The sequence below is a fragment of the Homo sapiens genome, chromosome 12, assembly GCF_000001405.40.
Source record: "Homo sapiens chromosome 12, GRCh38.p14 Primary Assembly".
NCBI classification, from domain to species: Eukaryota; Metazoa; Chordata; class Mammalia; order Primates; family Hominidae; genus Homo; species Homo sapiens.
The window spans coordinates 21,493,206-21,519,827 of NC_000012.12; the positions used below are offsets into that span (position 1 = coordinate 21,493,206).

Sequence of the window (26,622 nt, forward strand, 5' to 3'; positions counted from 1 at the left end):
ATTAATAACCCTGTTTCCACTGATAAAGGGAACATAACTATTCTATGTCATCATGCAGTGAAAAAAGTTATTTAAATCATCATCCATAGACACCAGTAGAAAAATAACTAGAGAAGGCAAGGCTGTGGGTGACAAAGTGTTTGCTGTTACAAATGTTTTGGTGAGAATAATGGGGTTGACTGGTTGCTTCTAAGTGTGCAAAGAACTCAGGGGAAAAATGTAGGATCTGCATTAAGGGACCTCAAAGTTTCTATGATTGTCCTTAAAAAAAAACCTTATCCTCTATAGGTACAGGGCCAATATTTTGGAAAAATAGCTGTAAGTCTAAATCCTGCAGATGGCTGAATTTCAATACAAACTGAATTCCCAACCTTGCAGGGACTTTTATGATAAAGTCAGCACACTGACTGGGAAGGAGACTGAAATTTGGAGGGGAACATAAGGGCAGATTCCAACGAAGCAGGTTACCTTAAACCACTAAATTATGCCAAGTCTCTTCTACCCTGCCTCCCCTTTCTGAAACAATGTCCTCCTAACTGAAGTCCCCACAATGGTCCTTGTTGCCTTGTATGGGACTGCTAAGCCTCCTAAGAATCAGCCTCTACCATCTTTCAGTGCTTTAAGATCCAGAAGTCCTAGAGGATAAAACACAAAGATGTAACCTGTCAAAAGACATGATATGCACCAAAAGAGCTGCATGTGCCAAAATATATCAATAGAAACTGTGTTCATCCATTTTGCATTGATATAAAGGCGTATCCGAGGCTGGGTAATTTATAAAAGAAAAGAAGTTTATTTTGCTTATGGTTCTGTAGGCTATACAAGGAGCATAGCGCTGGCATCTGCTTCTTGTGAGGACCCCAGGAAGCTTCCAATCATGACAGAAGGCAAAGGGGGGCAGGTGTGTCACACAGTGGGAGATAGAGTAAGAAAGAGAAGAGGCAGTGCCAGGCTCCTTGAAACAACCAGCTCTCATGTGAACTAACAGAGCAAGAACTCAGTCATTACCATAGGGAGGGCACCAAACCATTCATGAGGGATCCTGCTCCATGACCCAAACACCTCCCACTAGGCCCACCTCCAACACTGGAGGTCACATTTCAACATGAGATTAGGAGGAGACACATATCCAAACTACATCAGAAACCTAGAGAATGTATATGGGAATAGATCATAAAGGTACTGAAACAGGGTTTATGGAATACAATGTCGAATTAAGCTAAGTTTATTGATACGGGCTCACTAAGAAATTCTGGATTTAATGTCCTAGATAGTGGCCAGGAGTGGCTCTAGTAATTTGCTTGGCTCATTGCCTGAAACCTGGCCTCAAAGATGAATGTCAGAAAATTGGGATGGAATAAAACAGGTATAGAGTCCAGTGAGGCTGGAGCTCTGGAATTTCCTGGGTATGCTCTAAAGGAAGGTATTCAGAGGCTTAGAGAGAGAGCAGTGCCAGAGTGGAAGATCAAATAGATTGATAATCCACTCCCTTGCTGTCCCCCAGGAGAATCCAGAGGACACTTCTTTCACCAAGACTGTGAAAAATACAGTCATGAGCAGAGCGCCAGCATCAGCGGAGCTCTTCAGGGATGCTGGGGCTCCCCTGGCTGTTCTCTGTAAGCTAGGAATGACAGTGGGAAATATCATCTTCCAAGTAGACCACCTGATTCAACGACAATGATGGATTCCAAGGTATGGGGGCTAACCATTGGCAATTGAATTTATGACGAAAAATAAAGTAGATGTGGTTGCCATGAAGGGCAACAGAGCTGAGGCAGCAATCAGAATGGTCTGACCGACAAGATCTTGGATTGACTAGTTGACTGTGAAGTCCCTGAAACGGAAATAGATTACTTGATTTGTAACACGCAGAATAGAAAGCTCTGATTCTGGTAAACAGAACCAGAAACACAACAGAGAGACCATCCTTCGACGAATTTCCAGAATTGAACCACCTTATAGAACCAGAGGCCCTTGAATAAGGCAGAGGTTGGAGCCTGTTGGGGAAGGACTCAACCACACAGCTAAAAATGTATGTAATGAATCTTCCTACTACTCTTCACCAGGAAGTTTATTAGGGTAACTGTGCATTAGAAAAAAAGAGAAATCGGCCAGGCACGGTGGCTCACGCCTGTAATCCCAGCACTTTGGGAGGCCGAGGCGGGTGGATCACGAGATCAGGAGATCGAGACCATCCTGGCTAACATGGTGAAACCCCGTCTCTACTAAAAATACAAAAAATTAGCCAGGCGTGGTGGCGGGCGCCTGTAGTCCTAGCTACTTGGGAGGCTGAGGCAGGAGAATGGTGTGAACCCGGGAGCGGAGCTTGGAGTGAGCTGAGATCACACCACTGTACTCCAGCCTGGGTGACAGAGTGAGACTCCGTCCAAAAAAAAAAGAAAGAAAAAGAGAAATCACTTCTCAGAAACTACTGGACATTAGCTCTGAACTGATGCTAATTCTTAGAAAACCAAAATGCCATGGTGATCCACCAGTCAGAGTATAGACTCGACTTAAGTGAGGTGATCAATGCAGCTTTGGTTTCCAGAGATTTAAAAGGTAGAAATGAAGCAGTAGACATATTTTCTGTATTTAAGAAAGTCAGTGTAAGGGCAGGGTTGGTGATCTCATTGGCATGGGGCAGCAGCAGGTTCAAGTCCAGCGGCTGCTAGTGATATACAGTGGGCCTTCTAATCTGCTGTGTGGTTATTTCCTCAGTTTCAGAATGTATACTGAGAACAGATATATTCAGCAAGTGGCAGAATCCACCCATTGGTCTCCTGGCAAAGTAACTAAGGATTATTATTATAGGAAAGATCAAACGGAAGCCAGCAAAACTGCCTTTACCAACCAATACAGCAAACTAAAAATATTACTGCATTCCTGGAGGGATTGCAGAGATTACTGCCTACATCAACGGCATGAAAGATATGAGGGTAATGATGACTTCCATGTCGCATTCAACTCACCTATGTGGTGTATGCAGAAGACAATGGATTCTGGAGATTGAGAATGGATTATGCCAAAATTAATAAGGCTGTGGCTCCAACAGCAGCCATGGTTCCAGCTGTAATTTCATTAATAAGACAGAACACATGCCCTGGCATCTGGCTTCAGCTATTGATCTGCTGAATGTTTTATTCTCCATACCCATGTACCTGTTATTATAGCATAGGGGAATAGTATAGCACAGTAAAAGCAGTTTGCTGAGCCAGCAATGTATCTTTATTCTCCCACCTCAGAGCTATATCTACTCTCTAGCCCTAATCTAGGCTGCAGGGATCCTGATTCCCTTTTCATTCCACCAGACATTACACTAGCTCTCTGCATTGATGATATCATGCTTGTCTGACCTGCTGAGCAAGAAGCAGCAGTAGCAGCTACTATAGACAAACTGCTAAGAGAGACACTTGCCAGAGGATAGAAGATAAATCCCATAAAAATTCAGAGGCCTGACACCTTGGTGAGAGTCAAAGGGTATGGGGCATGTTGAGATACCTCTTCTAAAGTGAAGGATAAGTTTCTATATCTGGCCCCTCCTATTACTAAGAGAGCAGCACAGAGCCTAATGGACTACTTGGATTTGGGAGGCAACATACACCTAATTTACCAAGTAACCCCAAAACTTGCCGGTTTTGAGTAGGACCTCGAACAAGAGGTAACGCCATGATACAATCTTCTCTTACCATTGAGCCATATGACCCAACAGATTTGATGGTGCTGTAAGTTTGTGATGAATGCAGATGTTATATGACACCTTTGGCCTATAGATGAGTCACAACAAAGATGATAAGGATTTTAGAGCAAAGCTCTTTGCCATTATCTACAGAGAACTATTACCCTTTCAGAAACAACTTCTGGGTTGCTCCTGGGTCTTACAAGAGACTAAGTTACTATGTGACCTGTGCTGCCTATCATCAACCAGGTGTCATCCGACCCATCAATTCATCAGGCAGGCCTCCATCATCACAATGGAAGTGGTATGTGCCAAAGTGAGCAGGTTCTAAGTGAAGGCGTGAACAAGAAGTCTGAATGCTCATGCACCATGCTCCCCTTTGCCTCCTCCTCCTCAACCTGTAGCTATAACCTCATGGTGGGATTCAGTGTTACTAAGGGAAAAAAAAATGCAGACCTAATTTACAAAAGATTCTGCATGATATATTGTCACTACCTGAAAGTGAACAACTAAAGCACTCTAGCATCTCTCCAGAGTGATCCTGAAAAACATTGGAGATGGAAAATTCTCCCAGTCAGCAGTAAGCAGTCCACATAGTTATTCATTTTGCCAGAGGAATACATCCACACTATTATAAGCAATGGTTAATGATTGGCAGGATGGTTAGCAACTTGGAAGGTAGCAAATAGGAAAACTGGTGGCAATGAGGTCTGAGGAAGAGATATATGTATAGACCTCTCTGAATGGTCAGAGTGTGAAGGTATTTGTGTCCAATGTGAATGCTCATTAAAAACAACTTCGACAAAGTATAATCATAATTAATCAGGTAGACAAGATGACCTGGACATTGACCACACTTGTCCTTGCACAACGAAGTCAAGAACAAAGTGCCTTCTGCAACATGGACTGCCACTCACGAAGACCCATCTGGCTACATCCAGAGCTAAGTGCTCAACCTGCAAACAGCTCATACCAACCTTGAGTTCCAATGGAGGCACCATTCTCTGTGGGGACAGACAGATGCTTGATGGCAAAGTGACCGCATTGGAACCGTCTATAATGAAAGAGGCAGCACTTTGTTCTCACTGATACAGATGCTTACTCCGGATATGAATTTACCATACCTGCCTGCAGTGCTCTATCATGTCCACCATCCAGGAATTCACGGAATTCCTACTGATTGTCATCGTATTCCCCACCAAATTACTTCTGACCAAAGAACTCATTTACAGCAAACAAAGCACAACAGAAGGCTAATGTTCAAGATATTAACTGGTCTAACTATGTTCACCAACAACCTGCAGCAGCTAGCCTGAGAAAATAATGGAGTGGCATTTTGCAGACTCAATTATGCTGCCAGCTGGGTATCAGCACTTTAAGGGCTGGACTAGTAGCCTCCAGGATATGGCATGCTATACATCAGTGAATAGTGCTGTTTCTCCCATTGCCACGATTCACGGGAATCAGCGGTGGAAATGGGAGTGGCTCTTCTATTACCCTTAGTGATCCGCTAGTGAAATTTTTGCTTCCCATCCTTGAAACATCGGACTCTTGCTGGCCTAGAGGTCTTGGTTACCAAGAAAGAAATGCTTGTACCAGGGGAAAAAGCAATAGTTCCATTAAACTGGAAGTTGACTGCCACTTGGCCACTTTGGGTTCCTCATGCCAACAAATGAACAGGCAAAGAAGGCGATTACTATACTTGCTGGGGTAAGTGATCCTGACTATTAAGGGGAAATCAGATAGCTACTACACTATAGGGATAAGGAAGAGTATGTCTGGAAAGCAGAAGATCCTCTAGTGCACCTCTCAGTATTCCCTTACCTTGTGATTAAAGTTAATTGAAAACTATAATAACCAAATATAGGAAACTACTAAGGCAAGTAGTCCCCACCAAGCAAAGACCCATTACCAACTGAGAACCAAGGAATACAGAATGGGTAGTTGAAGAAGGCAGTTATAAAGTACAAACTATGATCACATGACCAATTGAAAAACAAGAACTGTAATAGCTATAAGTCTTTCTTGCTTTTTAAAATTTGTATATAAACCAAGTTTGGGTTTTTCCTTTTATTTGGTCCCTCTCCGATACATTACAGTATTACCAAGGAGGACATGATTCAGCAAGAAGAGAAATGAGCATCACCCAAAGACGAATAAAGATAATTTGTACCTGCTCTTTTGGGGAAGGGGTCAGTGTATACTCAGCAGTAAGAGAAATAGGCAAAAGCATGATTCCGCTATTGCCTTTATTTGGACACAAATAAGGTAAAAATTAGACACAAAAGGACAAATGTTATATGATTCCATTTATATGAGGTACCTAAAATAGTCAAGAAACAGAAAGTAGAATAGTGGCTATCAGGGATTAGGAGAAGAGAAGTAATGGAAAGTTACGGATTAATGAGTATAGAATTTTAGTCTGGATAGATGAAAAAGCTCTGGAGATGGATAGTGGTGACGACTGCACAACAGTCTAAATGCATTTAATGCCAATGAATTATTCACTTAATAATGGTTAGCATGGCAAAGTTTGTAATGTGTATTTTACTTCAATAAAAAAGCTGAAAAAAATCATTTCTATAATCAGAATTTTTAAAACAAACTTTTTCAAATATCATACAAACAGAAATAGAACAGAAGGAAGAAGAAAATGTAATCATTGCTACTAACCTGAAACGGACGCCATTCTTTTTCTTTCCAAATTTGTTTCTAAAATAATCCAAATTTCTTTCTAAAAATAAAAGCACAACAGTGACAACAAGTTTTTAAAAATAGTACTATTAATGATGTTCACTCAACAGTAATCTGTCATTCCTAAGCACGGAAAATGTTAGAAAGTAAATTATATATTGCAGTGACCTTTCAAATAAGAACCACATGGTTCTTTTGACACTAATTTTTTATGGAAAACTCTATATTTCAGCTTAATAACCCACAACACTCAGAACGACTAACTCTCTAGATTTCAGAGAAGTGTCCAAAGTCACATAAACGTATACATGACAAATACAGTAGCAATGACACTCAGCAAACATCCACAAGATACAAAGTGATGTAACAAAAAACAGCAAACATTCAACAGGTCTAGCACCAATTGCTATGTGACTAAATTACTATGTTAGGCAAAGTTGCATATGCTGTTCCTCCAAGCCTCTTTCCCTACCTGTAAAACTGGGAGGATGGCAATCTTATAAATAAGTTGGATAGATTCAAATGTACCAGATTAAGCAAAATACATCAACATAAATAATAAAATTAATCATCTAACATTTTATTGAGCCCTTGCGTTAAAGAATTACAATATAAGCCCAATCTTAAAAGAGAAACTGGTATTCTACAGAAAAGCTAGATTTTCTAAGTTAGAGGTGGGGGGAGGGGAAAATGGTTTGTAATGATTTCTAAGTATCTATGAATGACTAAAACCTAAGCATGCATATGGACAAGTGGAAAATGGGGCTGGAGAGTAGAAACTTTAAATTCCCCATAATCCTAAAAACACCTCTTCTATCTCTCTAATATGGACATTTTCTAAAACTAAGATGCTCTCCAAAAGTCACTTCTGCAACACCTATCCTTAGACTGCTGACCTTACGCCCTTTCTACACAGAATTCTGAAGCCACCACTAGGCCGGAAAGATAGGCTGACTCTTTTTTGCCTTGCTAAAGAATGTGGAATAACCACACCATTAAAAGAAGGCTAAATAGGAGAGTAAACCAAGGATTTCTAATTCTTGATCTATACAAACATCTCTTCACGTAATGAAAATGTAACATTCCTTCCATAGACTGTAAGGTCCTTTAGCAGGGCTGGGGTTCAATCTCTTCACCTTTGTATCCGCACAGCCCAGGAAAATGCCTTGATGTAGTGAGGGCTCAGGTTTGCTAAGGTAGCAGGGGCTGTTTCTACCCTTATGAAAAGACACAGTCTATATCCAATTCTCCCCCACGATTTTAAATGACTCCTTTGATTATGCGGTTAAAAGACTGCTCCTTCCCAAAATGATGTGATTTAACAGCAAAAGATATCTCAACATAAAATGTATCCAGAAATTGAACTACAGCAGGTCTGTCACTCAGCAGTATAAGCTAGGCATCCACAGGAAGAATGTTACAGGGTGACAGCCAGTCATCAATGTTGGAGGAAACGCCACTGAGATACCATAGGCTAAATCCTCTCTCTCCCCGCCACCTGCATTTAGAGGCAATAGTAATTTAATATTAATAACGCCCGCCCTTCCGCTACTGTGAAGCAGGGGGTGGAAGAAGCATCCCCAGTAGTATTTACCAACAAATGGCAGCTGCTAATAAACAGGCTTTGGTGGCCAATCCTCCTGCATGGAAAAGAATGGGGAGATCAGAAGACCGGTCAGCAGGCGAACGTGCCCCTAAAGGCCCGAGTTCTCAGAGCAGGGCAGTGATTAACTTTCCGGTTTCTCCTCCGCCAATGTGTGGGCGAAAGGAAGTGATCCGCTACAGACCGGCCTCGCCCTGCAGCAGGAAAGGGAAGGATGAAACAAAAAGCGCACACCCTTGACCCTTCAAAGCTGTAACAGTAGTTATCCCAGAGCCTCTCCCCACCGAGAAGCCCGGTCTAACTCTCCGGTGTTTGACTGTCCGGTGTCCGACTGTCCTGTGTCCGACTCTCCGATCTCCGACTCTCGGATCTCCGACACCAAAGCACCCAGGCCTCGAGCAGATCTTTCCGCTACTCGGGAGTAAAATCTTCCCGCCAGCCAGCTGAGAGCATCCACCCTTCCGGGTCGGTCCGTTCAGCCAATCACAGATAACTCCCTTCTCTAATTGGTCAAGGGGTGTGGTCACCATGCGCGTCACCGAACAACATTACGAGTTATTGGTTGAGATTGGAAGCAGGTTTCGCCAATAGGAAGCGCTCTTAAAGCGGCAGTGAGGGTGGCTGCGTGTTTCCGGAAGACGTGGCGGCTCTCGCCTGGGCTGTTTCCCGGCTTCATTTCTCCCGACTCAGCTTCCCACCCTGGGCTTTCCGAGGTGCTGTCGCCGCTGTCCCCACCACTGCAGCCATGATCTCCTTAACGGACACGCAGAGTAAGCACCTGCTCCGGGGCCCCCGCCTCGAGCCGCGCACACCCATCGCCCGGCTGGGTCTCGCCCCTCCGCCGGGGTCAATGAATGAAGCTCTGGGTTGGGGGCGGTGGCCTGCGAGACAGAGCTAGGGCTGCTGGGACCCTAAGGGGCTGCCTTCGGGATGCCGGGGCTAGACTTGGACTGGCGGACCTGACCTGGGAGAAGAGTCTGTGGGGCAGGGTGGGACGCCCTATGTTGGGAGGGGAGCTTTAGCCCAGAGTCTGTCTCATTCCAGGGTCGCGCTGATCTCCTCATCCCCAGTGAGATGGGCGCTTTGTTCTAGGGGCTTGCCACAAGAGAAAGTTTGCGTGGTGCCCGCGGCCCACTCTCGGGATCGTTTATGCGCATGACACACTTCGGGTCCTCTACAAGTCCCTGGCTGGCTGGTTATTTGGGAGGCGGTATTTTAAATGTCACCTACAGTAGGCTCTTTTTGAAAATGTCCTTACGCTTAAATGTGGCATTTTGAATATTCGCTTTTTGCCAGTACTGTAAGCAACCTTTTAGAAGTCTCTTGAAACATTCTCACTTTTCTACCTGCTAAAGTTTCAAGCAGTAGAGAAAAGCCACTTTGTGTGCCATTAAAGGATATATTTCGTTAGTATTGTATATTGTGCTTTGTGGCTTGTTTTATTATTTTAGCATCGCTCTCTGCCTGCCACAGAGTTCTCCAGGCCTATTTCATCTCTAAAGCTAGCATTGATATCGGTTTCCTTTTCTTTCATTATAATATTTCCACTTTCCTACTGCTTTTTGTTAATATTAATAATTTTTGTATTTATGTCTGCCCAAGCTCTGTACCTCATATTTTGATGTTCATAAGAGTCTCTTTTTGTCTCACTTTGCTTTATCTGCCACGCCTTTCATTTCACTCCAGTTAACTCAGATTTTCAATATTTTAAGACTTAAACAGTGAATTGAAGTGAAAAATAGAAGTTTATTTAAAATGCCCTATTTTAAAGTGGAGTCTTCTTGTGGAGATTCAAGTCATGGCAGACCAACTTCACAGAGCTTCTAAGGCCTCCTACACACACTGCCACCCCCCAATCAGGCTGTCTTCCCTCCTGAGGCTGGACTGGGGCTGCCTCTTGGGGCCACCTGCCCCAAGGTTGCCGCCCACTTTGGTCCATTGGCCTGGCCTGTTCTGATCAAAGAAAATAAAAGTGTAGTCTTGAGGGGATAGGAATCTAGTGTAATAATAATTACTGGCAATTATATAAAGGTATTTTCTTTCAGTTAACCATGTGCTTTCATGTGAATCATTATGCATAATTCTTATAAGAGCCCTGTAAGGCTCACAGAAGCATGCCCCTTTCATAAGTTAAATGAGGCACAAAAGAAATTGAGTGCATGGTCAAAGAAAAAGTGACAGAAACAAAACTTGATCCCAGGTGTGCTGGCTCAGAAACCTTTTGCACTGTACCCCACTATCACCTAAGAAGACTTGATATAAACTTTATTTGAGATCTGAGAATAATCTGTGCATAGAAATTATATTTTTGAAGACTTAATATAGTGATGAGTGCCTGCTTTATAAAAACAAGAGAGTGGGTTTGGACTATGGGCATTCTCCCTGAGAAGCATTCTCCTCACTTCATTAAATTTTGTGAGGGCAATGAAATTTTACTCTTTGCTGTTCACTTGTCACATGTTTTAGGTGAAACAGTGGATTGAAACATAAAACGATTAGTGAACCAAATGCATTTTGGATTTCAAATTGTGTTTGTGTGTGAGTGTGTTTAACTGCAGGGATTGGCCATCATTCAAGTGATTTGTCAGGATTATTCTGGGATTTTGGTTTTTAGAGAGTGGCCAAGCACTGCTCAGAGTAGAATAAATGGAAATTCATGATTATTTTAAGGCATTCTAGGACTTTCCTCACCGCCCCAAAAAAGACAAGACTTATTCAGAGGGGCGGAGGAGGGGCATGCTGCCTCTAAATCTTCATTTCATCACATTGTCTAAAAGCCTAGTGTGATAATTGCATTCTCCAGTACAGTTAATGTTCAATTGAATTCTTGCTTGACTTCTGTTTTTCAAAGGGTATGGTAAGAGAGACAATGCTGCTTTTAAAAAATTGTGAATAAGATATCAAAATGCTAACAGTGTTTGCCATTAGATTATGCGTGTCTTTCCTTATACAATTTCCACAGTATGCTCCTTATGTTAGACAGATTCGTTTTATTAAATTGTTTTTATATTTTTTTTAACTTGTGGACAGTTTTTTAAACATGTGGGAGGAGTGAAGGAAGATAAGTTTGTTTTACTGGATATGATTCCGATGGGAAGAAGGCAGCTCTATGCAAGGCTTTTGATAGCCAGAGGGCTTATGAATGCATACGGATAGGGAAAAGGGGGATCCTGGAGGTGAGAAAAAGGCACAATGAGGCCAATTTGAGACTTTTGACCAGTGTGGATCAGGAGCTACTTGGCAATGTCATTGCCAGTACCAGTTGTGGCAAAGATGTTTTGGGCAATGTCTCCCGCTGGACTGTACTGGATAAAGTAGTGGAATATTTTGGTTCCCATGTTGTAGTTGTAGGACCATTGTCTGTGGAGTGAGAAGACTGGTTGAATGCTGACTTCACAGACTGTTGTACCTGCCTCCATACCACCAGCACCCACACACACATTTTTGCTGCTTCTATGATCAAGAACAAGTTACTGAATTACCTCTAGGTCCATGGTTGCACATATGAACCATAGGACCAGTGCTACCTTTTACCTCACAATTTTGTTAAAGAAATTATAAAATTTTTGTATAAACACTTCATAACACGGTAAACCATACTCAGAGATTGGCCTTTTTGACCGCAGTTAATTTTTAATAGTTCTACTTGGCTATGTTAGATAACAAGCTAATATTAAACTTGAATCCCCTAAAAGATGCGTCCCCCAGAAGTTCAGAATACTCCAGTGTCCTTGAGTTTCATGTAACCAAACACCTTTAACCTAAAAAATAAAAATTCTGTGGGAAGAGGTATGGCATTAATGGTTAAGCACATGAGCTTTGGATTCAAAAGACCTTGGTTCGAATGCTTATCTAGAAGTGTGGCTTTAGGCAACTTAAGTCAACTCTCTAAACTTCAATTTCCTCCATCTTTAAAAAGATGTAATTATACCTGCATTCCAGTAGTATTGGAAGTATTAAGTTATATATAAGGTATGTGAAGCACTTCATAAGGCCTAATTCGTGGTAAATTCTCAGTACATAGTAGGTGTCTTTCCATATACCTTCCTTTCTAAAAACATCTCAGAATTTTTATGTAATCATCAAGGTTATTTGTGAAATGATAGAAATTAGTCATCTTCAACTAACAAAGCTGCCGATGTTTAATCCTAACTACTAAATAGTTATTTAATAGAATTTTACTTGCTCTTTTGTCCATATTTTCCTCTATGAAATTATGTCCACTATCCAAATAGTTAATTTGGTAAATTCTCTTAAGGCCTTTGATCATGAAAGTATCAGCCTCAAATTTTCATAGGAATGTGTGTTGAATTCACTTAACTGGTGTATTTATAGACCAGGTACCTGAATTATTTTAGACTAACTTTGGGAACAAAAGGTGTCTGCAATGGAAGACACTAGTTATCAGGAAATTGAGCAGGTGGGGAATGTAGAAAAAGCTAAAGTTGATAAAAGTTTTCAAGTTATCAGAACATTTTATATGACTTAAGAGTTTTTTAAGTAGCTGTGACCTAGATTTTAGCTTTCTGGAGCTGAGGCAAAAAAGTTAAGCAATAGATCAGAAATCAGTGATAGGGTATTTTAAATTGTGCTTCTAAAAATACGGTGGCTTCTACTCTGACTCATCTGTATGCAGATTGTGCTTCTAACTAAACTACGGATTAATGGCTATTTTCTAGAATCAAAACTAAAATGATCAAGGAGGTAACTTAGTGAATTGTGCTTTATAACATTAATAGAAGAGTACATCTGTCACCTTAGAAGTTAAGACTTTTCATACTAAAAAAATAAGACCTAGAGAATGCACAGTCAATAAAAGTATTAATTTTATATACAAGATAAACATAGACTTTAAAGCTTACACCTCGTCTACCACTGTATATTCAGTACCTGGAACAGTTCCTTGCATCTGGCAGTTGATCAACAATTCTTTGTTTTTTAATGAAACTAATGAAACATGAAAAACCTAGAATATTAATATTAGGTAAAACAGTATTCTTTGAAACTTCGGAGAGGTGATTTTAGGACTCTAGACCAAATATTTAAGTAGATTTATAGTTTAGGTAAATTTGTAGATAAGTCCATAATAAGTAATCAAGAAATTAAAAGTGATGCCTGACCTTCTGAAAATTTGGTTTTGAGAATACTGGTACCATGATTTTCGAAATATTTCTTGTTGCCATTGTGACAAGCAGTATATAATTGGATAAAGGATATTGATTGTGCGGACCTACCATAACATTTCTAATGCAGTAAAGAAGGAATCAATTTTAAGAGGAAGAAAGAACTACAGATATTGTGCATTTAAATAATAATTATAGAATGTGAAAGGAGATAAGTAATTAAGGAAACCTATACATTTATGTCTGATGCGAGAGAGCTTTTCAGGAGGAAAAAAACAAATTACATATTAAAACCAAAGGTTTAGAATCCCGATTTATCTTTTTTATTATAGCTATGTCTGAGAAATGCTATCTCCCATATAAGGCTTAGAAATTTTCATTCATGTTTTAAATTTTGAAATAATTTGCTGATAATTAATTTGTTATAAGAGCTAAATAAATGTCATTATGAAGTTAACCTGCAATGTTGGGTACCTGTTTTCTTATACCTATGAAAGGAAAACTGGAAAATTTTCTTAGTTTACAGGGATGTTAATGTGACTTTAATTTTTCTCTACCCTTAACCATATACCTTATATTGCAGAAATTGGAATGGGATTAACAGGATTTGGAGTGTTTTTCCTGTTCTTTGGAATGATTCTCTTTTTTGACAAAGCACTACTGGCTATTGGAAATGTGAGTTTTTAAATATATATTTTAACTAAATTTATAAGGAAATTTTAACTACGAATGAATTATTATCTGCTATTAAATTTGGGGAAAATAATTCACTATTACTCATAAGTAATTCCTGTTACATTCTCTATTTCCATCAGGAATGAAACCTGTCAGCTTTCTGTTTAAATAAAAGGTAAACACTTAATGAGGTTTTCTAATTCCATAACTACTCTGTTAAGTGTTTGTCATGAGATTTACAATAGATTAAATGAAGGCTGCCTCTAAATAGGAGTTCAAAATAGATGACTTGATAGTTTCATGTCTTGATAAATCACTAAAGTATTTTTACTTTAAACATCCAAGACTTCACATTTGATTCAGCTGCATAAGATAGATTTTTTTAACCTTTTTAAAAATATATATTTCTATGTTAATGGTTGACTTGCTTAGAAAGGGATCTATGTTGTTTATTTGGAATGTGTACTATGCTATTCATGTGTGGAGGTTATGATCCAGAAATAAATAATAACCCTTCTAAGGTAGTGAAGACACTGTATGTGTGTGTGTGTGTATATATATATATACACACACACATATATATTTGGGCTTTTAACTGGAAATGGGAAAAGATAAAGAATAGCAAAATTGTTCAAAATTGATGTCTTAATAAATGATAATAGCATTAGTATCCTAGAATATGAAGCTTAACCATTAGGCTTAATATGTATTTGTGCGAAATATTTTTCACTAAAGAATGTTAATGGGGAGGGCAAGTATTTGGAAAGAAAACCTGGGGAAAGCAAGCTCTTAATCCATCACCATTTCTTGTCCACAGAATACATTCAAAATATTTGAAAACACATGGTTGTATTTTTATTTCTGCTGCCACCAGATATTCTAGAATTTATAAAACTAGAATCTTCTTGGCTTCACGTTGTTTCTTCTGCTATCAACTTAGCCATGTCAATATTTCTCCCATCCATAGAAACTCCTGTAGCCTATGATGAATATTTCAGAACCAAGAGGAATACCCTTGGGTGACATATTTATGGGCAGCTTTCCTCTTTATGCCTTGCCAACTCATCTGCTTGACTAAGCCTTCCTCATCCAGCTAAAACTAGGAAAACTACTGCAGACACAGATGCCCCTTGGTAACGTCTAATCTTTCTTTGTTTCTCTTTTTCTCCATTTAATCAAGATAGAAGAGGAATGAGACAAGTGGAACAAAGCTACAACTTTAAAATGCATAACCCACTCCTTGGTTCTGCTGCTTGGTTGTACATTACAGTTCTGTCTGGCCAGTTGCCCACATTAAAAGCCAAACAAATGTGCTTCTTTTTTTATATTTAGCTTTGACTTTACGTTTAAAATTTATGCATTGTGTTTAATTACCTTTTCCGTGTTGTATTTTCTTTCTCTTTTAGGTTTTATTTGTAGCCGGCTTGGCTTTTGTAATTGGTTTAGAAAGAACATTCAGATTCTTCTTCCAAAAACATAAAATGAAAGCTACAGGTTTTTTTCTGGGTGGTGTATTTGTAGTCCTTATTGGTTGGCCTTTGATAGGCATGATCTTCGAAATTTATGGATTTTTTCTCTTGTTCAGGTAAGGCATATTATTGTCTCTTTCAGTAAATCAGTGTGTCAGATAGTTAGTACAAAAACTCAGATATTTGCATCAGTTGGAGTAAGATGATGATCATTTCCTTAAATGGAATTTTATTTAGGTTGAATCTTATAGATTTAGATGAAGCAACTATAAAAATGTTTTATCACATGTGAATGATTGCCTAATGGTATAAATTATCTTGTTTTGTCAGCACAATAAAGTTTATTTTATTGGCATTTTAAGGCACCATCTTTATGTTGGATATTTGTATCAACTAAATAGTGGTAGGTAGGTCGGTCGATCGATCAATCGGTAGGTAGGTAGGTAGATAGATAGATAGATAGATAGATAGATAGATCCAGCATTTTGGTGTGTAGAATCTTATACTTCATAGCTACTGCTACTTGATGGAAATTTATTTAGCACATATACGTATTAGAAGATTGTTTACCAAATACACTACTATGGGAGATTTTGAGCAGGTAATATTTTGTAAATGCCAGTTAGCAGATAAACAATAGTATGTGTATATATCTATATGAAAATACCTTTGGCCAGGTGCGGTGGCTCACACCTGTAATCCCAGCACTTTGGGAGGCCGAGGTGGGCGGATCACCTGAGGTCAGGAGGTCAAGACCAGCCTGGCCAGCATGATGAAACCCCGTCTCTACTAAAAATTCAAAAATTAGCTGGCCATGCTGGCAGGCGCCTGTAATCCTAGCTACTCGGGAGGCTGAGGCAGGCGAATTGTTTGAACCTGGGAGGCGGAAGTTGCAGTGAGCCGATCACACCATTGCACTCCAGCCTAGGCAATAGAGCGAGACTCTGTCTCAAAAAAAAAAAAAAAAAAAAAAAAAAAACAGAAAAGAAAATAACTTTAAGTAGGGTTGAGCTTAATTATTTATTCCAGAAATGCATATCCTTTGTCTTCTGTCTGCCAGGCACTGTATTACCCACAGGAGACATAAAAATAAATTAAGTACCAAATCTGCTTTAGAAAATCTCTCATTTCTATTATGGAAAGTAGACTCTAAAAATACCAATAGGATATAGTCATAATGCCATTATAAATGTGTATGCAGAATATTGTGGAAGCATGATTAAAAAATTAGTAAATTCAAGGAGAGGTGAGAAATGTTAACTGATAAACTGGGCTTTGAAGAATGGGTAAGAATTTATCCTATAAACGAGAAAGGGAACGACAGTTAACAGAAGGAACAGACAGGGCCATAAAAACACACAGCTTGTTCTGAAAAGAATGAATACTCTTATAGAACAGGAGCATGTGATCAGTTGAAGGAAATGGTTGGTAATGAAACTGAAAATGAAGCCTGGAGCCAGGTTACAAACTTTCTTTGATGACTTGTTGAGAAAAGTATACCTTATCCTGTAACCAAATTTGGGCTGGGGGAGCAGTGTTTGGAGAAGGTCGGGGGAGTGGGGCACAGAGGTTTTTAAGCCAGAGGTGGTACAACAGGGTAGATGTTTTAGGAAGGTTGTTCTGATATCAGGATAAAGTAGGTATTAAAGAGAAAAACTGAAGTCAGGGGAGCCAGTCAAGAGGCGGTTAATACAGTACAGAATATACAGTGATAAGACTGGAATCTTGGAGTACTTTTGACATTTTAGGGTAGGTGGAGAAAAAGAAGAAAACACTAGAAGAGACTAGGAAAAGAGGTGGGAGAAGAACTAGGAGTAAAGATCATAGTGGCTAAGAGAGAAAAGAGTGAAGAAGAGTTTGTTTTGGCAGATGTATCTTGCAGCAGAAAACTTAAGCACCTTAAGAAGTAAGAAAATCATTGGCTTTCCCAGTTATGTGGGGGTTTTAGTAATGAAGGTTAAAAGCCAAAGCTGATCTTTGAGATGAATAAAAAATGGGAAGTCTTAGTATCATCGACAAGCTTGGAGTAATACACAGGTTTCGTGGTTTAGAGAGCTTTGTGGTATAAATACTAGTTTTTGTTGTTGGGTTTTGTTGTGTTCTGAGATATTCTGAGCTGGAGATTTAGTGCCAAGGGTCTTTGATGTTGTTTTTCTAGATATTTATAACCCTAAATAATGGCATTTGAAATCACACATTTTTATGTTTTAAAACAATACTTAAAACAAAATAAATGATCTTTTGAATTCATTACTACTAGAAAATGATTGTGATTTTCTTTGAAACACGCACATACACCATCAACATAAATACTTGTCTAATTTAAAAATTCTGCTTTCTGTTTAATTCTTTATTTTGACTTCTGCAGATCCATAACAGAATCTTATTGCTTAACTTCTGAATTGTATTCATTGTAGTATTTTCATCCCTATCTAACTCTGTGAAGAAAACAGCTTTTTTTCTGTACTCGTCTTACCACAATCAACACAGAAGACTGCTGTGACCAAATGGGTGGGGGGTTTTCCCGATATCGCAATCAGTTAGTTGTCTGCAACAGACAACAGCTGGGTGTCCTCCCAATATAGTTCTGATACTGTCTACATGGAGATAGCTCCAGATCACACAGGTTGAGGGCTCAGTCCCACAACTGTCCTCCACTCCCAATGATGCCAGCCACAAGCCCCAGGTTGTTTTACCCATGCTTCTGACTGATCAGCTCTAAGTTGGGGTTCCCACGATCCCCTGTTTGGATCAGACTAATTTACTAGAGAGGCTCACAGAGCTCAAGGAAACACTGATGTTTACTAGTTTATTATAAAGGATATTACAAAGGATACAAATAAAGAGATGCATAGGGCAAGGAAAGGGGGGAGGGTCGCAGATCCCCCCCCACCCTCCCCAACCCACCATCCTCCAAGAACATCCTTGTGTTCAGCTATCCGGAAGCTCCCTGAACACTGTCCTTTTGGGTTTTTATGGAGGCTTCATTACTAGGCATGATTGATTAAATTATTGGCCATGAGTGACCAGCTTCACAGCCCCCCTCCCCTTCGTGGAGGTTAGGAGGTAGGGCTCAGATTTCCAGCCCTCTAATCTTGCCTTGGTCTTTCTGGTGACCAGCCCCCATCCTGAAGCTGCCTAGGGGCTGCCAACCATTGATGATAACTCATTAGTATACAAAAAGACATCACCTTGTAGAGACTCTTAAGTATTTTAGGAGTTGTAAGCCAGAAAATGAGGTCAAAGACCAAATATATATTTCACAGTATCACTACATATTTTAAGACCCAGGAAAAGTTTAGTTTCTTTGCATTTTTAAAATAAACTATTTCATTCTCTTCCTATACTGAGGTAGCTTAACTGATCTACTGTCAATTTTAAACTGGTTAGAAGCTGTTTAACTTCTGTAGACTTGTATTTCTACCAAGAAAGAATGAGACATACTGTGAGGATCAGTATCTGGCAGGTAGTCTCTTAGTGTTAACTAAATGTTTTGACCCTTAGTACTTACTTAGTAAATGATAGCTATTATTATTTTCATGGTTCTACACATATGGTCTCAACAGCCCCTTTCTTTTTATCAGTTTCACCCCACACAACTCATAGTTGGAGAAATCTTCAGCAGTTGAGCTAACTCATAATCTGAGTTATATATAGCTAGGCCTCATGTACTTGTCACATTTTTACCAACAATCACAAAATTTTTAATTAAGTTTGTAGTTATTTCTAAGTTTGAAGACCCTCAATTATTCAGAATTTTAACAGGATACTTTCTTTTTCCTTGGTTAGCAATTATTTTGAAAATAGAAAATGTGTAAATATTAAGAACCTTTTTTTTCCCTCTCCCAGGGGCTTCTTTCCTGTCGTTGTTGGCTTTATTAGAAGAGTGCCAGTCCTTGGATCCCTCCTAAATTTACCTGGAATTAGATCAGTAAGTAATCATGTATATTTTAGGCCAACAAAATACGTATTTTGATGCTTTTTACTTCTAGAAATTTGAGTAATTGATACTTGGTTAATTGCTGAGTTTTGTATTATGATATAGTTACTTCACATAGATCATGAGTACCATGAAGACCAAAAAATAATTATTGCTAAACCTATAAAATGTGAAATTTTGTTTTACCGTATCCATTTCTGGATCCATATTCTCTATTTTTTAATGTTACTCAGATTTGATATGCTATGCTACCTTTCTCTTTGAGAGTTCAGGGCATTTTTTATTTAACTTTTATATAATCTCTAATTTTAGAAGCAATAATGTAAAAAGGAAACCATTATTTCCTACAAATATTTTGTTTCTCAGACTGTATCACCAATAGACTAGATTCAGACAATTAAATAAGGCCGGGTGTGGTGGCTCACACCCTGCACTTTGGGAGGCTGAGGTGGGTGAATTGCTTGAGCCTAGGAGTTCGAGACCAGCCTGGGCAACATGGTGAAACCCCATCTCTACCCCCGCAAATACAAAAATTAGCTGGGTGTGATGGTATGCCTATAGTCCCAGCTACTCGAGAGACTGAGGTGAGAGGATTGGCTTGGGCCTAGGGGGTCAAGGCTGCAGTGAGCCATGATTGTGCCACTGCACTTTAGCCTGGGTGGGTGACACAGTAAGACCCTGTCTCAAAAAAAAAAAAAAAAAAAAAAGAGTTGAATAAAGCACTATTATACTGGGATTCAGATGGTAAGAGTCTATTCCCAGCTCTGTTTACAGTTTGAACAAGCTTGTCAAATTTGTTTTCCAGTGTGTGCCTTGGTTTCCACCTTGATAAAATAAAGGGAATCAAATCAGACAAGAGTTAAAGAGAATGTTTTCAAAGTTAACAAATAGAGTTTCTTCCTTTTATTCAATATTCATTCAACAAATGTTTCGTACTAAACTGCTACCTTGAAGGTTGTAACATCTTTTGGTGGAGTCTTAGAAGGCCATTCAGAATTCAGCTTATTTTTTGCCACCTTGGGAAAAGCTTTCCTGACTCCCTGTGGCTGACTCGGGGTGTGCTTCTATAACATTCCTGTGCACAACTCTATCATAGCATTTACCTCTGTTTTTTTCTTTGTTTTTGTTTTTTCTTAGAGAGAGTCTCAAACTCTTGGGCTCAAGCAATGCCCCCACCTCAGCCTCCCAAAGTGCTGGGATTACAGGTGTGAGCCACCACACCCAGCCTTACCTCTCATTTAATTGTCAAAAAAAAAAGGCTTCAGGCCATGCATGGTGGTTCACTCCTGTAATTCCAGCACTTTGGGAGGCCAAGGTGGAAGGATTGCTTGAACCAGGAGATCAAGGCTGTGTTAAGCGATGCTCACACCGCCACACTATAGCCTGGGCAATAGGGCAAAACCTTGTCTCAAACAAAAAAGAAAAAAGAGAAAGGAAAGGAGAAAGGGAGGCACTTCCATGTAAAACTACAGTCCTTGAGGGCAGAGACAGGTTGTATTTTAGTCATTGTTCTATCCCCAGTGACCCAGCATAATATCTGCCGTATAATGGAAACTCAAAATATTTTCTGCTAAGCAAGTGAGTGAAGGATGGCATTTTGTTGACCTCAGGGAACTTGCTCAATTTCAAGACAAGACCAGATGACTGTCTCTTAGCCTACCTCCTCAGTTTCAAAACTAAACAAAATCCTTAATTTCTAAAAGAATCTAGGTGATCTAGAATTCAGCTGAGTTGGCTACAATCCTTTTGGCTCTAGGTCAGACCCATATCAGAAGTATTCATATCCTTCTTTGGATTGGTTTCATAGATCCAACTCTGTCCTAAATAACTAGGATAAACTAGCTTTATAGGAAAACTTAAAAGACTACAAGTTCCAGTTAGGTTCAGGGAAGTTAATCAACTTTCTAAAGTTGTTCACAGATTTTTATAGATGTTTCTAGAGAGAAAGTTCATAGCATTTTATTGAATGCTCAAAGAGCTAAAGAATGGCTTACCTATGGAAGAATAAGTACCACTATAAGCCTAATCCCATTTCCATCCCCAGGGTAATTTTAGGGTCAGAACCTTACAGCCAAGACAATCTAAATATTTCAAGTTACCTTTGGAGAGAGAATATTGTGCTTTCTCTCCACTTAAATTTACCTTAAAATTCTAATAAATCCATGAATTCTTTGAGAGCAACTTTTAGTTTCAGTGGCCAGCCACCTGTTTGTGATAATATAACAAAATGTTGGAATGTAGGCTTATAGGGGTATACTCTGATTTCATTTGCATTAATCTGCAAATTCATACAGTGGTCAGTGTTATTTATACCTAGAATGGCTTTTGAATGTACTGAAACTTCTAGTTACAGAGTTGTAATCATTATTTGTGCCCTTAATTTAAGGATTCTCAAGAATTTGCATAAATGGACACCCAATACAATAGAATATGTTTCTTATCGTTATTCATCATGATAAGTGCTTATGTAAACATGTGAATCGTGAAACAAAATAAATGATCAGATGATTACTAGAATTTGATAGTATAACCACCTGGGTTATATAACTTTTAATGTCTCTACCAATTATATACAATATCAGTCTTTACATCACCATCTGGAATGTTAAAAAAAAAAAAAAAGCCCAACTGCTTTATGTTTGGGGTGGAGTAACCAAAGTAAATAACCACTTACAGTAATGTGTGTTAAAATTTATATTCAATAATTATAAATTTATGCTTACATCATTAAATCTATCTTTAATGTCATTACCACTTTCAATCCAAAGTCCAGAATACACATTTAAAGTATTTTTAGTCAATAACTGTTGTTAACTATTGAACTTAATGGAGTTAAATCTGTTTGTCCAAAGACTACATAGGCCCAGAAGAGATCCACAGTAATGGTCAGTTGAAATATCTTATTGGGTTCATTAATGCATGAATGGCTGACATTTCAGTTTTTTTTATGTTTTTATTTTTTATTTTTTGTTAAGCTAGCAGTGTTATCTTCATCTTATACAATTTCTTTATTCATTGTGTTGCATTTTTCATGTTGCACCCTTAAATTCATATGTATAACATGTCATGCAAAAAACAACTTTTAGAAAAAAAAATTTTATACACGTTTATGTATCAGAAGATGATGGTGAGTAGTACTGGATTAGTCATTGTCAGTCATACCTTAAATTTCCACAACTCTTCTTGTAAGGCTGGGTTTTTAAAATCAACATTTTAAATATTGATATAATGTTTTATAATGTTCCGGGCTTTCTTTAATTCTCTGTTTTTCTTCTCCTTACAGTTTGTAGATAAAGTTGGAGAAAGCAACAATATGGTATAACAACAAGTGAATTTGAAGACTCATTTAAAATATTGTGTTATTTATAAAGTCATTTGAAGAATATTCAGCACAAAATTAAATTACATGAAATAGCTTGTAATGTTCTTTACAGGAGTTTAAAACGTATAGCCTACAAAGTACCAGCAGCAAATTAGCAAAGAAGCAGTGAAAACAGGCTTCTACTCAAGTGAACTAAGAAGAAGTCAGCAAGCAAACTGAGAGAGGTGAAATCCATGTTAATGATGCTTAAGAAACTCTTGAAGGCTATTTGTGTTGTTTTTCCACAATGTGCGAAACTCAGCCATCCTTAGAGAACTGTGGTGCCTGTTTCTTTTCTTTTTATTTTGAAGGCTCAGGAGCATCCATAGGCATTTGCTTTTTAGAAATGTCCACTGCAATGGCAAAAATATTTCCAGTTGCACTGTATCTCTGGAAGTGATGCATGAATTCGATTGGATTGTGTCATTTTAAAGTATTAAAACCAAGGAAACCCCAATTTTGATGTATGGATTACTTTTTTTTGTAAACATGGTTAAAATAAAACTTTTGTGGTTCTTCTGAATCTTAATATTTCAAAGCCAGGTGAAAATCTGAACTAGATATTCTTTGTTGGAATATGCAAAGGTCATTCTTTACTAACTTTTAGTTACTAAATTATAGCTAAGTTTTGTCAGCAGCATACTCCGGAAAGTCTCATACTTCTTGGGAGTCTGCCCTCCTAAGTATCTGTCTATATCATTCATTACGTGTAAGTATTTAACAAAAAAGCATTCTTGACCATGAATGAAGTAGTTTGTTTCATAGCTTGTCTCATTGAATAGTATTATTGAAGATACTAAATGATGCAAACCAAATGGATTTTTTCCATGTCATGATGTAATTTTTCTTTCTTCTTTCTTTTTTTTAAATTTTAGCAGTGGCTTATTATTTGTTTTTCATAAATTAAAATAACTTTTGATAATGTTTACTTTAAGACATGTAACATGTTAAAAGGTTAAACTTATGGCTATTTTTAAAGGGCTATTCATTTAATCTGAGTTTTCCCTTATTTTCAGCTTTTTCCTAGCATATAATAGTCATTAAGCATGACATATCCTTCATATGATCACTCATCTTGAGTTAATTAGAAAATACCTGAGTTCACGTGCTAAAGTCATTTCACTGTAATAAACTGACTGTGGTTTCTTAAGAACATGACACTAAAAAAAAAGTGTTTTTTTTCCACCGTTGCTGATTATTAGACAGTAGGAAATAGCTGTTTTCTTTAGTTTTACAAGATGTGACAGCTTTAGTGGTAGATGTAGGGAAACATTTCAACAGCCATAGTACTATTTGTTTTACCACTGATTGCACTGTTTTGTTTTTTTAACAGTTGCAAAGCTTTTTAATGCATAAAAGTATAATTGAAATCTGTGGTATTTATTTACAAACATGTCTACAAAAATAGATTACAGCTTATTTTATTTTTAGTTAAATCTCTTAATACACAGAGAACTCCCAATCTTGCTCATCTAAATAAGGAAAGACTTGGTGTATAGTGTGATGGTTTAGTCTTAAGGATTAAGACATTTTTGGTACTTGCATTTGACTTACGATGTATCTGTGAAAATGGGATGATATTGACAAATGGAGACTCCTACCTCAATAGTTAATGGAATAATAAGAGGCTACTGTTGTGTCTAATGTTCTTCAAAAAAGTAATATCCTCACTTGGAGAGTGTCAAATACATACTTTGAGGATTGACTTTATATAAGGTGCCCTGTAGAACTCTGTTACACATATTTTTGACCCATATTATTTACAATGTCTTGATAATTCTACCTTTTTAGAGCAAGAATAGTATCTGCTAATGTAAGGGACATCTGTATTTAACTCCTTTGTAGACATGAATTTCTATCAAAATGTTCTTTGCACTGTAACAGAGATTCCTTTTTTCAATAATCTTAATTCAAAAGCATTATTAGACTTGAAAGGGTTTGATAATCTCCCAGTCCTTAGTAAAGATTGAGAGAGGCTGGAGCAGTTTTCAGTTTTAAATGAGTCTGCAGTTAATATCAAATGTGAGTTTGGGACTGCCTGGCAACATTTATATTTCTTATTCAGAACCCTTGATGAGACTATTTTTAAACATACTAGTCTGCTGATAGAAAGCACTATACATCCTATTGTTTCTTTCTTTCCAAAATCAGCCTTCTGTCTGTAACAAAAATGTACTTTATAGAGATGGAGGAAAAGGTCTAATACTACATAGCCTTAAGTGTTTCTGTCATTGTTCAAGTGTATTTTCTGTAACAGAAACATATTTGGAATGTTTTTCTTTTCCCCTTATAAATTGTAATTCCTGAAATACTGCTGCTTTAAAAAGTCCCACTGTCAGATTATATTATCTAACAATTGAATATTGTAAATATACTTGTCTTACCTCTCAATAAAAGGGTACTTTTCTATTAATTGGTGGTCAAGTATATCTGTGTTATGAAGTTCTAAAAGCTAATTTAGCATTGCAAAATAACCTCATTTTTAAAAAATTAGCCTTATATGCAGTGTTCTATTTATCAAATGATCTTCACATCTTTCATTTCCAAATTGTTGAAATGTACTAATGAATACAAATAGACTTCAAGTAAGCAAAAATGTTCTTAATTTTGAAAACTGTAAAATAAAGTCACTTACCTTGGGCAATATGCTATTTTTTAAAAATCAGACTCCCAGTTTGTATATTATGTTATTCAATAGACATTTTCTGAGTACCCCTTGAATACTAAAAGTCCTGTGTTGAATGTGGGAGACCCAGGAGAACAAGATATGTGCCATCTGCTCATTAAGTGCTTAGAATGTTAACATTGCTTTTAAATTCTTAGCCGTATTTCCACATAACTTGTCCTGACTTACACTGCAAACAAATGGTGGTAGAAGAATTTGCAGTCGAAACACCCCAACCTCTTATTTTTCTCCCAGTCAAGAGTTACTAGAACTATTCAACCTTCAGCTGTGTTGAATAGTTTTAGTAACTCTTGACTGGGAGAAAAGCTGTGTGATTGGTTCGCATTTTCAAAAGATGTCTGGAGGAAAAAAAATAATACCAGCTTTAACTCTGGGAGGTTTGTTTTGAGATGTAATTTCTTTTGCAAGTCTGTATATGTATTCAACTTAATGTAGCGTATGTTTTTGGTTTCTTTGTGGCAGGGGGAAGAGAATTGTTTTTAATGTAGGCCTAGGGATTTAGAACTGTCACTGCTATTTGTGTTGTCTGGAAGCCTGCCACCAAATCTGTATTGCCACAGGCAGTTGGGGTAGTTTTCTGAAAGCTGCTATGATTGCTACCATTAATTGCAAAGTTTAAAAAGCGGTGAGGGAATTTAGAAATTAGAGGAGAAATGCTTATATATTTTTTCTCAGGATGGAAAGGATCTTAAGTTTTTCTCACCTAAATAAGACCACAACACCTACATTGTTTTAACTGTAAATTTTATTAAGGCCGAAAAAAAACACTGGCCAAGTCTACCACTTAACATACCCAGTAAGTATTTGTTGAATTCACTAATTAAGCTGCAAATCCAGACTATTGTTGGGTAAACGGGAAGTCTTGAATCTGTTATTAAATATCCAGCATATTTCTCTAATCTTGACCTGAGCCAAAAGGCCCCAACCTCAGTTCTTCTGTTACCTGTATCCATGTAGGAGATTGGACACTAGCAGCATGCCCAAAATTCTTCATTGACTAACATGCGTTTCCATGACCTTAGCTTTACTCAATTCTCAAGGCCTGATTAAAATGTCACTGCTGTCATATCTTTCCTTACCAGCTAGGCCCAAACAGTTGCTCCTTCCCTGTCCTCTCATACAACTTTCCACTTGCTTTGTATTGATTTGGTTATGGAAAAGATTCTTGAGGTTCGAAATCTCCTCTTTGATTTGTATCTCCAGTTCCTGGCATTTAGTGGGTGCCCAGTAAGTGGTTTAATGAGTGAAAGTTCATTCTTCCAGCTCTTCTGGTGCTGGCCCCACTGATCACTTCTTTTTTTTGTTTGTTCGTTTTTGTTTTTTGAGACTTGCTCTTGTCACCCAGGCTGGAGTGCAGTGGCATGATCTTGGCTCACTGCAGCCTTCACCTTCTGG

General features: G+C 38.2%; 2 protein-coding genes across 9 annotated transcripts in view, besides 9 other annotated features; one reads left to right on the forward strand and one right to left on the reverse strand.

The window, feature by feature from the left end:
- RECQL (RecQ like helicase) overlaps positions 1-8,430 on the reverse strand; it is a 32,726-nt gene extending 24,296 nt beyond the window's left edge. The window contains exons 1-3 of one of the 8 annotated variants that reach the window (XM_047429300.1): positions 8,276-8,430; positions 7,965-8,010; positions 6,350-6,410 (exon numbers count right to left, since the gene is read on the reverse strand). In XM_047429300.1, coding sequence (XP_047285256.1) covers positions 6,350-6,365 — 16 coding nt within the window. In that variant the 5' untranslated portion in view covers positions 6,366-6,410; positions 7,965-8,010; positions 8,276-8,430. Of the gene's footprint in view, positions 1-6,349; positions 6,411-7,964 lie in introns of all 8 variants that reach the window. The other 7 variants (XM_047429299.1, XM_005253462.6, XM_005253461.4 and 4 more) reach the window with 7 other exon arrangements.
- Positions 7,714-7,783: an enhancer, noted in NCBI's record as "active region_6088". NCBI's record gives its function as "activates an Ori minimal core promoter by ATAC-STARR-seq in GM12878 lymphoblastoid cells {active_cell/tissue: GM12878}" and the evidence as "EXISTENCE:reporter gene assay evidence [ECO:0000049][PMID:35858748]".
- Positions 7,804-7,853: an enhancer, noted in NCBI's record as "active region_6089". NCBI's record gives its function as "activates an Ori minimal core promoter by ATAC-STARR-seq in GM12878 lymphoblastoid cells {active_cell/tissue: GM12878}" and the evidence as "EXISTENCE:reporter gene assay evidence [ECO:0000049][PMID:35858748]".
- Positions 7,894-8,083: an enhancer, noted in NCBI's record as "active region_6090". NCBI's record gives its function as "activates an Ori minimal core promoter by ATAC-STARR-seq in GM12878 lymphoblastoid cells {active_cell/tissue: GM12878}" and the evidence as "EXISTENCE:reporter gene assay evidence [ECO:0000049][PMID:35858748]".
- Positions 8,224-8,283: an enhancer, noted in NCBI's record as "active region_6091". NCBI's record gives its function as "activates an Ori minimal core promoter by ATAC-STARR-seq in GM12878 lymphoblastoid cells {active_cell/tissue: GM12878}" and the evidence as "EXISTENCE:reporter gene assay evidence [ECO:0000049][PMID:35858748]".
- Positions 8,224-8,941: a biological region, named in NCBI's record as "NANOG-H3K27ac-H3K4me1 hESC enhancer GRCh37_chr12:21654373-21655080".
- Positions 8,234-8,941: an enhancer, noted in NCBI's record as "NANOG-H3K27ac-H3K4me1 hESC enhancer chr12:21654373-21655080 (GRCh37/hg19 assembly coordinates)". NCBI's record gives its function as "activates a minimal SCP1, AML or CMV promoter by ChIP-STARR-seq in primed H9 embryonic stem cells {active_cell/tissue: H9 hESC(primed)}" and the evidence as "EXISTENCE:reporter gene assay evidence [ECO:0000049][PMID:30033119]".
- On the forward strand, positions 8,584-25,203 carry GOLT1B (golgi transport 1B). Its single transcript, NM_016072.5, has 5 exons — positions 8,584-8,743; positions 13,680-13,771; positions 15,178-15,356; positions 19,090-19,171; positions 22,464-25,203. The coding sequence occupies exons 1-5, from the start codon at positions 8,719-8,721 to the stop codon at positions 22,500-22,502; spliced, it is 417 nt and encodes a 138-aa protein (NP_057156.1). The 5' UTR covers positions 8,584-8,718; the 3' UTR covers positions 22,503-25,203.
- Positions 8,942-9,649: an enhancer, noted in NCBI's record as "NANOG-H3K27ac-H3K4me1 hESC enhancer chr12:21655081-21655788 (GRCh37/hg19 assembly coordinates)". NCBI's record gives its function as "activates a minimal SCP1, AML or CMV promoter by ChIP-STARR-seq in primed H9 embryonic stem cells {active_cell/tissue: H9 hESC(primed)}" and the evidence as "EXISTENCE:reporter gene assay evidence [ECO:0000049][PMID:30033119]".
- Positions 9,883-9,932: an enhancer, noted in NCBI's record as "active region_6092". NCBI's record gives its function as "activates an Ori minimal core promoter by ATAC-STARR-seq in GM12878 lymphoblastoid cells {active_cell/tissue: GM12878}" and the evidence as "EXISTENCE:reporter gene assay evidence [ECO:0000049][PMID:35858748]".
- Positions 17,850-18,047: a silencer, noted in NCBI's record as "fragment chr12:21663989-21664186 (GRCh37/hg19 assembly coordinates)". NCBI's record gives its function as "represses an EF-1alpha promoter that drives an FKBP-Casp9 reporter gene in an ReSE screen in HepG2 liver carcinoma cells {active_cell/tissue: HepG2}" and the evidence as "EXISTENCE:reporter gene assay evidence [ECO:0000049][PMID:32094911]".
- Positions 25,204-26,622: the final 1,419 nt, after the last annotated feature.

Bases quoted from the DNA above. Each gene is read 5' to 3' on its own strand.
- GOLT1B (NM_016072.5), top strand. From the start codon at position 8,719: ATGATCTCCTTAACGGACACGCAGA. The intron at 15,357-19,089 runs GTAAGGCATATT...TCCCTCTCCCAG, and splicing joins GGATTTTTTCTCTTGTTCAG to GGGCTTCTTTCCTGTCGTTG. The intron at 19,172-22,463 runs GTAAGTAATCAT...TTCTCCTTACAG, and splicing joins ATTTACCTGGAATTAGATCA to TTTGTAGATAAAGTTGGAGA.